At 43.0% G+C, this 12,211-nt stretch overlaps 2 annotated features.

Annotated features, from left to right (window-relative positions):
- Nucleotides 726–1,242: an enhancer, noted in NCBI's record as "NANOG hESC enhancer chr15:82050490-82051006 (GRCh37/hg19 assembly coordinates)". NCBI's record gives its function as "activates a minimal SCP1, AML or CMV promoter by ChIP-STARR-seq in primed H9 embryonic stem cells {active_cell/tissue: H9 hESC(primed)}" and the evidence as "EXISTENCE:reporter gene assay evidence [ECO:0000049][PMID:30033119]".
- Nucleotides 1,243–1,758: an enhancer, noted in NCBI's record as "NANOG hESC enhancer chr15:82051007-82051522 (GRCh37/hg19 assembly coordinates)". NCBI's record gives its function as "activates a minimal SCP1, AML or CMV promoter by ChIP-STARR-seq in naive H9 embryonic stem cells {active_cell/tissue: H9 hESC(naive)}" and the evidence as "EXISTENCE:reporter gene assay evidence [ECO:0000049][PMID:30033119]".

The raw sequence follows: 12,211 nt of genomic DNA on the forward strand, positions 1-12,211 counted from the left end.
AACTGTAGCCAGGCTTAATAGTCAGACAAAATCAAAAACCTAACTTAATAGTATGCACCCATAACAATAGCTGAGTGTTGGCCAATCCCAGCGGCCATACTTCATAGACTGCTCATAGACTGCTGAGTGTTCAAACTGTGTTCTGTTCCTCACTTCCAATTCCTGCATGTCACTCTACCTTTTTTTTTTCTATAAATTTTTTCTGACCATGAGGCACCCTTGGAGTCTCTGTGAATCTACTGTGATTCTGGGGGCTCCCTGACTTGAGAATCGTTCATTGCTCAATTAAACCCCTTTAAATGTAATTAGGCTGAGGTTTTTATTTTATCACTAACAAACCTCTGCTTCTCCCAAACAACTTCAAGATATTTCTAGAATCAGATTGTTCATCTCCATTCTTGGTTCTGTTATTATTTGGAAGTTCTCTCAACTCAATATCTGGACTATTGCCTCTAAATAGTCCCACTGATTTCCAAGCTGATCTCTGTACTAATACCGTGACTATTTTTTTAAAAACGCACAGTATCATGTACTTCAAGCATTCCCCTTCTCAGATAACTTGGATAGGTCCCTACTCTTATAAAAAAAAAAAAAAAAAAAGGAACCTAACCCCTTGACAGGACTTGCTAGGGCTTTAGAATCTTTTCTTTCCTCCCCTTCCTATATGCTAAACCCACCAGCTGCCTCCCCTACACCTGCCCAATGTGCCTTACCCATGGCCATGGCCATAAAACTGCTCTCTGTTCCCCCAAATGTCCTTTACCATCTCAGACCTCTTGCCTCATGAGCCCTCTCAGCCATTCCTGAGTCCCCTCTCCATTTCTTTGATCTTAGAACAGGTACTCAGCCTTCAAGACACAGCTTCTCTGATCTTCAAAGCAGAATCCGTGCTCCTCTAGAACTTTGCGCAAATATGATTAAGCATCTGTAAAGCTGCATTGTAATTAATCGGCTAGTTATTTGGGACTCAAGACCGTGAATTCCTTGAGGGAAGGGATGGAGGCTAATTCATCTTCACTCTCCCTATACCTCACGCAATTCCTATCACACAGTAGCTGCTTAATTGATGTTTATAGTCAGCAAGACTACATCAAGGAAAGCCTATCACAAATCAAAGCCTTGCTTCTCCGTGGGTAGAGCCGCACTCCTTCTTACCTGAACCTGGCAGCGAAGGCCAGTGTACTTAAGCTTGTAAGTAGAGGAGGGTGGCATCGTTTAATGTAATCAGGGATTAGGTGAGTTGCCATCTTCCCAGCTTCCTCCACAGTAATTATGAGCCTTCACCCGGCTGTTTGGAATATGTGAACAAAGGAAGTGCTTTTCTTCAATCACTCATGACACACTTAAAAATGTAAAAAAAGCCAATTCCCCTAATATCTCTTTAATTCCTACCTAAAATAGCCTGAGGAAATGGATATCTGATGCCGAGTCTTCTTGTATGAAAAGAACAATGCTTAAGACATGCAAATGTCAGGAGAGGCTAAGGCTGGTGGTTCCCTTTGATCTACAGAAAGGAAATATAAACAAGAATAACTTCCCATCAAAGTGAATTTTAGTGCCTCCTTTTCAACAGCAATTAACATGGCCATTTCATGATTTATTGTTTAGCTGGAGTGAGTCCCACTTTTTTTTTTTTTAAAGCAGGAATTTGATCTTACACAGAATTCTGGCAGGAATGATAAACTTCTCTCCCTTCTTCCTTTCCACAACTTGAATCAAAAATACCTTTCATCCCTCCCGTATGCAGGGTCTGGAGCCTCCTGTGTAGGGTGAAGTCTGCACAGAAATGCAGTCTGATGTTGGTGCAAGGTTGAGTGTGCTTGGATAAGGATGGATATATGGGTTTTGGAAGCAGTCTATAAATCAGCTTTGCTTACAGTAAGCAGCCATGGCTGTAGAACTCTACTTAAAACTCTTACTCCTCTTTACAAATGTGCTGTGGATGGCAAGCCCAGAAAGGACAAAGTCAGGATGGACCTACAGGTTAGAAAGAGAAAAAACCACCGGGAAGAGGAAGCAGAGGCCTAATCGGAGCTTCAGCGGCCCTGCTCCAGAAGTCCACCTGAGGCAAGAGAATAGGGTCTGGAGGCAGGGAACCTAAGGCTGATTCACTCTGACTTCCTAGTAAGGGAGGAAACCACCCCTCATATTGTCTTATGCCCAGTTTCTGCCTCCAAAGAAAGAAGAAGTAAAAACTAAAAGGCAAAAAATGAAATCCACAAGCAGACAGCCCGGCACTACACCCTGGGCCTGGTAGTTAAAGATCGACCCCTGACCTCATCGGTTATGTTATCTATAGATTCCAGACATTGTATAGAAAAGCACTGTGAAAAGCTCTGTCCTGTTCTGTTCATTCTAATTACTGGTGCATGCAGCCCCCAGTCATGTACCCCCTGCTTGCTCAATCGATCACAACCCTTTCACACGGACCCCCTTAGAGTTGTGAGCCCTTGAAAGGGGCAGGAATTGCTCACTCGGGGAGCTCGGTTGTTGGAGACATGAGTCTTGCTGAAGCTCCCAGCCGAATAAAGCCCTTCCTTCTTTGACTCAGTGTCTGAGGGGTTTTGTCTGCGGCTTCTCCTGCTACACTAGAACTAAATCAAAAGGAAAACTCCAACTTTCCACACCTAACTAACAAAAGCCCCCACCCGCTTCTGCATGGAAGATGGAAAATTGAAACTACCTCTGATTGATTGCTTTCTGCAACCAGTCAGAGCTTGCATAGGGTGTAACCTTTGCAACTTCATTTCAGCTTCTGATTGCAGCCCAATACTTCATTTACATAGATAGAGTGTACACCAGGTAACCAATGGGAAGCCTCTGGAGGGTATTTAAACCCCAGAAAATTGTGTAGCCAGGCTCTTGAGCCCATGTACTCCCGCGGATCCCACCCAGTGAAGTGTACTTTCATTGTCAATAAATCTCTGCTTTTGTTACTTCATTCTTTCCTTGCTTTGAATGTGCATTTTGTCCAATTCTTTGTTCAAGATGCCAAGAACCTGGACACCCTCCACCGGTAATACACCTGCTTCCCACTAAGTTTCCTTCCATCCACCACCCTTACCCCACTCTCTACTCCTACCCTCCCAGGCCTCTGGGCCTGAATAAGCAGAAGTTGCACACTGTGTCAATTATCAAGAAAGCCATGGGAGTTCTTCCAGGATGCCTGTGGGCTCCAAGCTGTTCAAATCTCCCTTCTCCCCAGAAGCTGGGAGCTGAGGTGTGGCCTAACCCCAGGCTTTTACTTTTTCACTTTCACTTGTTCACCTTCAAACAAACCTATTCACATCTGACCTTGGGGCCTGCTTCAGTGCAAGGCAAGCACTGAGGCAGTGTAAGTCATAGAGCCACGAGAAATTCTTTACGCCCTTCTGAGGGCTCCCAGCTTCCTCATTACGACAAAACACAGGGCCCCCAAGATTGCAGCGTTCAAAGGTGGGCTTTTACGTAGAAGCAGTGAACCAGCCCCAAGGCCCAAATGCCCCTCCTGCATCTCATCTCCTCCCTAGGGGTCTCTGCTCCCCCATTCCTGCTGCCATCTTCAAATGGGCCCCCGAAGAACATGGTTTCCCCTGTTTTGCGTGGACACAGCCCTCTCTCCTTTCCCTTTAGCGCAAGCTCCTAGAGTTTTCAAAGGGACACTTCAAACACTCAGAGAGAGTAAAACGAAAACAAACACTGACCATGCAGTAACCACTCAGCGTGAGGTGCTGATGCTGGTGCAAGGTGGAGTGTGCTTGGATAAGGATGGATGTATGGGTTTTGGTGGGTGCTGCCCTCAGACACTCTGCCTCTCCTGCGTCTTTGCTCATTTCACCTGCACCGCAAGGACATGGAGTCCATGCCATCCCCGTTCTACAGATAATAAGACTGAGGAATAAGTAGTGGATCTCCCTTGCTTTCTCTGCTCACCTACTCCTCCTTTCTTCTGGGAACAATATCCCCCTTTTTGGGGGCAGCTTTTCTTTCTCCCGCCTCTAACATACAGTGAGAGGTGGTGTGGAATTGTGGTAAAAAGCACAACTTCGGATCAAAATTGTCTGGATTTTGTCCAGGTGAAAATGGCCCTATTAAGATATGTTACTCATAGCATGACCCAACCATGATGGAGTACCCTCATCCACAGTGCTCAGAGGAGCCCTACTCATCCAGGGCACCATAGGTCATTCCCTAACAGTGTCACTGAGCCAGCCCTCCCCAGGCCCCGCCTTCCACTTCTCACTCAGATTTCTCTGTGTTATCTCTCTGTAATGTGGGATGGCTTTGTTCTCTCAGAACCACTTGGCCCACACAGTCAGAGTCTCCTGCATCTCACATCTCAGAACTTTGCCTCCAGTGGGGCTTAACCTCCCTAATCTCAGCTCCACAATTTACTAGCTATGTGCTTTTGAACAAGTCCCTTTATCTCTCTGTGTCTCAGTTTTCTCATCCCTAGAATAGAGCTGATTGTAAGAGTGACGATCTCATGGGGTACCTCATAATGCTGTGACGAGGATTCAGTGAGTAAATATGAGTACTTGGAACAGTAACTGCTATAAGTTTGGTTTTTTGTTCCAAACTTCCGGAGAGAACAGCTTATCCTAGTACCTAGTGCTAGGGCATGGGACTCATGTGATTAATTAGGGTCTATCCCTTGGGTTTTTCTCAGTGGATCTGGTTAAGAAGAATCAGCCCCTCTCTGGTGGCAAAGTTCTGAGATGTGAGGTGCAGGAGTTTCTGGCCATGTGGGCCAAGTAGTTCTGATGGAACCAAGCGAAGCAGACAGGACAAACCTCAAGGGTGTTCCCAGCAGCCTTTGAGTCTACTTCTAGGTGTTTCTGACGTGGGTGGAGCCCCAGAGCTTTCTCCCATCCTGGACCTCACCTTTTATGGAAGTGTAGTACCCATTCACAGTAATACAAGAAGCAGCATTTTGATGTCTTCCAGGTGAAAGTGTTCCTATTAAAATATCTGTTACTCATAGCACAACCCAACCCCGATTGAATACACAAATTTACGGTGCTCAGAGGAACGTTACTCACCCAGGGGGCCACAGGTCATTCTCTAACAGTGTCACTGAGCCAGCCCTCCCCTGGCTCTGCCTCTCACTTCTCACTCAGATTCCTCTATGCTCTATCTCTATAATGTCGGACGGTTTAACTTGGCCATTTGGGCAGCCATTTAAGTGCCATTCTTGATTATTTTATAGCTGCAAATTTTACAATGCCAACTTTATATTCCAGCGAATAATTAATCAATTGGGTTTCCAACCTTTGTCTGTGATACTCTTAAAGAAAGGGACAACATTGTCCTCGGTTAAGGGGGCTGCTGGTGTCATACTTGGTGTCTTGGGGATAACATTGGTTGGGGATGCGGGGCTTCATGAAAACTAGTGAATATCAGTTCCACCCTACATGCTTGGGATGCAATTGAGGCTTTTTATTTTCTGGGGCTTTTTTTTTGTTTGGCAAATAATGAAAATACCAAACAAGTTTACACTTACTTCATACTTAGCCCCAGGGGAAGATCTATAAAACTTTCAGCTATCAATAGTTACAGTGGAGTATCTACTACTGGAGATAAAAAGTTAATGAGTGTTGCCCTTTGCACATGGATTTCTACTTGATCTAAAATGCCTGGAAGAATTAGATACACAGCTAAATTCTCAACACCACAATGGCCTCAGTTATAATACCACATACCCTTTCATTCTTTCTTAGGTGTGTTTGTTTCTGTTAGTTTGGGAATGAGGAATTCTGGCTCCACCACTAATTGTAAAGCCCTGGACAGATTCAGAGTCTAAGAGCATCATTTAGCCTTTCTCTCTTTTTCTGTCCACAGAGTTCAACAGAGTGCAGTGGGAGAAAGCATACAGTTAGAAGTCATGAGACACAAATGCTTCTATCCTCATCTCTGCCTAATGCTAGCTGTGTGACCTTGGACACATTACTGCCCTCTCCCAACTCAGACTTCCTTACTTCAAAAAAAGGAGTAATAGGAATCATAATTCCTACCCACCTCAATGGATTGAAAGGAGCTGATGAATTAATGTATGCAAAAGTGCATAAATAATTGTGAATGCTTTATAAGTATGGGACACCACCACCACCACCATCATCATCATCATCATCATCATCATCATCATTATCTTTATTTCCTCTTGGCCATGGTGTAGAGCATTCCAGTAAGAAGTCTGGATCTAAAGCAAGGTTTCTCAACCTGGGCACTATTGACATTCCGTGCTGAATAATTCTTCTTTGTTGTGCAGTCCTGTCCTGGATCTAAAGCAAGGTTTCTCAACCTGGGCACTATTGACATCATTCCGTGCTGAATAATTCTTTGTTGTGCAGTCCTGTCCTGGATCTAAAGCAAGGTTTCTCAACCTGGGCACTATTGGCATTCCGTGCTGAATAATTCTTTGTTGTGCAGTCCTGTCCTGGATCTAAAGCAAGGTTTCTCAACCTGGGCACTATTGGCATTCCATGCTGAATAATTCTTTGTTGTGCAGTCCTGTCCTGGATCTAAAGCAAGGTTTCTCAACCTGGGCACTATTGGCATTCCGTGCTGAATAATTCTTTGTCGTGCAGTCCTGTCCTGTGCATAGTAGGATGTTTAGCAGCATCCCTGGCCTCTACCCACTAGATAATGCCTATGGCACCGCCTTCTGCTCGTGACAACCAAAAAATGTCTCCAGAGATTGCCAAATGTCCCTGGGGGATAAATTACTCCTAATTGAGAACCACTGCTCTAAAGGCAAGCACTACCCCAGCTAAGAGATGGAAAGAGGGAAGGAAGTAAGGGTCACGTTATTTAGGCAACATGGCAACTGCTCTCCTCTGGACATGTGAACAAGAATCAGAAAAGATATGAGCCCCTGCATCCCTTTGCTCCTCTTATATCCTTTTGTGCCTTTTCCCAAATACTCTTGCTGTATCATAGACATCATCAGCCCAGTAACTTTTGACTCCCGTTGCCTCTGCCAAATAGTCCCCACATTTATACCTCGCCCTTTGCATGGACAATGTACCATCCACTTTTTCTGGTGATCTACTCTAGCAGCCCAGAACTAGGAATCAGAGTATATGGTACAGGGATTCCTGGCTCTTAGCAATGTCATGGGCAACTCTAGTATCTATACAGCTGGGAAGGACTCAAACAAAAGGGTTATTAGGGGAATTCAACTTCCACCTTGATAAAGCCGCTAAACAGGTTACCAGCCTCCTGAAAAGCCAATATGGGATAAGCACAGAACTTACCACCGTGGAGTCCTCTCTGACTTTTTGTCCTGCTTGGTTCTCTCCCCAAAGATGAGTGCCCTCAAAAGACCCCAACCATTTCTCTTCCTTTGAGAATCTTATCTGTTGTGCTCCATCTTGTCTAGATTCCTAAACTTGCCCTGCAGAGTTACCCTCTCCTTGCAACCAGCCTGACCCATCCTGCAGATCCAAGATGCCTCTCATTCCACCTCCAGGAATTTTGCCTAATCTCACTCCTAGCCAAGAGCCCCACAGTGCCTGGGCCTCCTACCTTTTCCCATCTCCTTGCCAAGAAAGGAAATAGAATATCTATGGTACTTTAACAAGAATAAAGGATTTGAAAAATTGAAGTACTCAGAGACACTATTTCACCCTTCAGCACATCACCTTGCTTCATTTATTTGTATTCTTATCTAATCCCTGTCTACATGCAAGCATAGCTTACATGCTTATTAAGGTATATAGATACTCCTCGACTTTCAATGGGTTGTATTGTGATGAACACTCATAAGTTGAAAAATATTATAAATGAAAATTGCATAGCTATCTGGGAGCTACAGCTTGCTGCCACTGCCCATTGTCATGAAATAAGTGTAATATATTTCTACTGAAGGAGTATCACTTTCACGCCATCCTAAAGTCAAAAAATTATAAAGTTGAACCACTGTAATTCAGGGACCATCTGTAAATATAATTGTTTGTCCTGTTTTTTCATAGTCAATTTTATATCATAAGCATTTTCTATTTTGCTTTAAAAATTACCATTGTAATAACCACCTAGGTCTCCATAGAGTGGTTATAAAATTCTTTATGTGACCATTTTTCCAAGATTTGGTCTGTTCCTTTATTTCGTATTAAAGTTAATTCTGCAATCAACATTTAACATCTTCCATAACTGAGAATTTTTTTCTTCTAAACTATTTCCTTGGGGTAAATTCCCAGAAGAAGGATTAACATTCAAGGATATACATGCTTTATAACCTTAATATAGATTGTCAATTATTTACCCAAAGGATTGCAAGATAACCCTGACATGAGCAATACTGGAGAAATTATTTTATCACAATGATGCCATTATTTTTACTGTTTTAATAGTAGAGTACTGTTTGTGATTCTTTTCATTTCCATGTCTTTGATTGCTCTTTAAGACCAATATTTACCTCTCCATGAATTTTGCAGTTCACCTGAAGAGCTCTTGGGAAGGACAGAGGAAGGAACCAATGTCCTGAGTCCTGCTCCAAGCCACTCAGAATTCCACATTAAGTGTTCTGTCACATCCTTCCTTGGCCTTATCACTGTCTGTGTTTAGTGGTGATTACTTTGATATCTGTCTTTCACCTCAGCCTACCGTCAAACACCAACTTGCTGACACCTGACTATTATCAGAACCTCAAATTCCTCATGCTTTCATATCCAAGACAACTTAGCTCTGCCCAAGACTTATACATCCAAACCCATAAAGGCTCAAAGGCTTGATAGTCCCCACAGGTGAAAGACCCAGCAAACATAAAAGGTAGCTAGCAACGGCATTTTGAGACTTAAAGTTATTGACCCTTGGGTCACACCCTTTACAACCTAAAGTTATCAGTCATACTCCTGAACAAACAGAGGCAGTCCATAGACTCCTGGTGAGGAAATTTTCTCTATCTTATCATCAACTTCTATTCCTGAAGATAATCTGTGTATAATCTCTTCGTCGTCACCTAAGGAACCACATGGAGAATCTGTACCTTGCTTCTGATAGATTTAATGATGCTTTCCTTCTTGTAGATGTAAAAACAACAATAGTAATAAAAGCTAACACTTCTGTAGCTCAAATTACATGCCATGTGCCATTCTAAATGTTTCACGTATATTAACTAATTTAGTCCTCCCCAAAAAACTATATAAGTATGATAATGATCCCTATTTCACAGGGGAGGAAATTGAGGCACAAAGAGTATCTGGAGCCAGAGCCTGTTCATAGCACTCTGCTTTGGGCTCTGAGGGCCATTGATGACTTGCAGCTGGTAAGACACTGGGCCTAGAGAGTACAGAGGAGGAGCATGTGGAGGCCAAGGGACTCCTCGAATGCCTCACTCTGCCCATGCACAGACCGACTCTGTGGCCGGCTCTTTATGCAAGGCCATTCAGGAGAGGCACATGCTCATAGCCACAGTGGGCTCCAGCCTTTGCCCATTCTCAGATACAGGTTTTTGTAAACACACTAATGTCCTATTTCTCTTTGTCAGCTGATGATAAGGTCAGAATGAATGTGGTAGGATAATGGATCTTAGTCAATACTGCACGGGAGGCACATTTTGCTGGTCCTAATGCTTCCTTAAAAATCAATTCCATTGGCTTTAATAGAATGTTCTCATTAAAAATATATGAGGCATGCTGAGTGCCATATGAATGGAAAATAAACATTATGAAACAAAGTCAGTGATGGTGCTGAATCTACTCTTTAATGGCTTCTGTTTTTCTCCAAACTATTAGCCCCTCACTCTGATTACTGCTAATTAATTACTATTTATCAGTGCAAGAACTGACAGCATCACTATCTGAATGGCAGGACCACATACCAGAATAGACACTAGGTCTTTGTGGGGAGTCTGAGCTATGCCACCTGGCACAGGTCCCTGAACATCTCTGAGCCACATGCTCTCCTTTATGAAGCATGGGTGATTAAAAATTCCCTAACTGGAAAGCTTAGGGCCACACAAAGACTGCATATGGGTATCTATAGCAGCTTTATTAATAACTACCAAAACTTGGAGGCAACCATGATGTCCTTTACAGGTGAATGGATAAATAAACTTTGGTACATCCAGACAATTGATTATTACTCAGTGCTAAAAAGAAATGAGCTACCAAGCCATGAAAAGCCAGGAAAAAGACACATGGAGGAAATTTAAAGGCATATTACTAAGTGAAAAAAGCCAGTCTGATACATACTATAAGTTTCCAACTAGCTGACCTTCTGAAAAAGACAAAACTATGGAGACAATAAAAAGATCAGGCCAGACGCCATGGCTCATGCCTATAATCCCAGCACTTTGGGAGGCTGAGGCGGACAGATCACCTGAAGCCAGCCTGGCCAACATGGTGAAACTCTGTCTGTACTAAAAACACAAAAATTAGCTGGGTGTGATGGCACACACCTGTAGTCCCAGCTACTCAGGAGGCTAAAGCAAGAGAAATGCTTGAACCCAGAAGGCGGACATTGCAATGAGCAGAGATTGTACCACTGCACTCCAGCCTGGGAGACAGGGTGAGACTACATTTCAAAAAATAAAAAAAAAGATCAGCAATTGCCATGGGTTGGGGCAGAGGAGGGATGACTAGGTGGAGCACAGAGGAGTTTTAGGGCAGTGAGACTACTCTGTATAATACAATAATGAATACATGTCATTATATGTTTATCCAAACCCATAGAATTTACATCACCAAAAGTGAACTCTAATATAAACTATGAACTTTGAATGACTAGGATGTGTCAATGTGGGTTCATCAATTGTAACAAATGTACCATTCTGGTGGGGGATGTTGTTAATGAGGGAGGTTGTGCATGGGGGGATAGAGCATATAGGATATCTCATGCCTTTCTCAATCTTGCCATGAACCTATAACTACTTAAAAATTTTTTTCTTAAAAAAAATTACTGTAATTTCATTTAAGTCTCTGTGAGACCCAGATGAAATCATGGATTTGCAAGCCCTGCTTCCACCCTCACTAACTCTGGAATTTTTGCAGATGGCATACCTGTGTGAACTTCAGTTTTCTTGTCAGTGAAATGTGGGTTAAAATCATGGGGTTGATGGGGGAATCAGGAAGGTGTAGATGTGGACATAGTTTGTAAACCAGGATGTGTTTCAAATACATAATAGATGACCCCTGCTTCTCTTTAAGTTAACAGATTAAAAATATTAACTAAGAAAAGAATGGAGACCCTTCCTGTTCTCATAGTATCTCTTCTTTTTTCTTCCCAAAGGTGAGGTACTGGTGCCCAAAACCATCCTTCCTTCCCCCATTGAGAGACTATTTTCTTCCAAGGTGACACAGAGGTAGAGCTACCTCATGAATGTCCAACTGGCACTGACCAAATATTTTCAATGACAAATGGTGATGTGAGTGCACCACATGGGCTTATGATGGTTTATACCTAAAATAGGGCATCCATGTGTGGCTGGGCTGTGTCGTTTCAGTTCCACCAAGAAGCAGATATTTACTGGGGGGTGGAGGAGGAGTAAGACCAGTGAAAGAAGCAGGGCTGGAGAGAGAAAGCCTCCAACTGCCATGCAGGGCACACAAAACCTCTGCCCATCCAATGGGGAGCTCTTCAGAAGATCGCCCATAGGAGCCCTGTATGGGGCAGAAATGGCCAGGCCTCAGTCCCCATGCCATGTTCCATCATTGCCTAAAGGCTGCCAAGTGGAAGCATGACCTTGGCTAAGTTGTTGCAGCAGATTCTGAAGCAAGGTGGCCATTCTGGCTGGAGCAATGTAAAGTAGCAGAAGAGTAGTAGGAGAAGACGTCAGAAAGAGAGTGAGAGGCCAGCTCAAATGGGGCCTTGTCAACATTGTGAAGACCAGCATTTACCCTGTTTGAGATGAAGGCCTCAGGAATTGCTTTGTGGTAAGGCCACAAATTTCTTGTATATTTTGTTTTTCCTGAAAATAGAATTTTTTCCTTCTTGAAAAAAGATATCTGTGTTTTTCCTAACAGTTTTTTTTCTATATATTGATTGAATTCTTTTCTCATTTTTGGAGGCATTGTTCTGGAGCCCACTTAATTCTGACTAGAAAAAAATTGTTTCCTCAGCCTGCAGTACAACCATTATCCTGGGATTTATTTTCTTCACATTCACAGGTTGCTTTATATTATTTCTTATGTCTCACATCATCCTTTTCTTTGGCTTTTTGCTCATTTTGCTGGAACATAGTATTAAATAACTTCTTCAGAAATAGTGCACAGGAGATAACATTTCCCACTAT

Source organism: Homo sapiens, chromosome 15, assembly GCF_000001405.40.
Source record: "Homo sapiens chromosome 15, GRCh38.p14 Primary Assembly".
In the NCBI taxonomy this organism is placed as follows: Eukaryota; Metazoa; Chordata; class Mammalia; order Primates; family Hominidae; genus Homo; species Homo sapiens.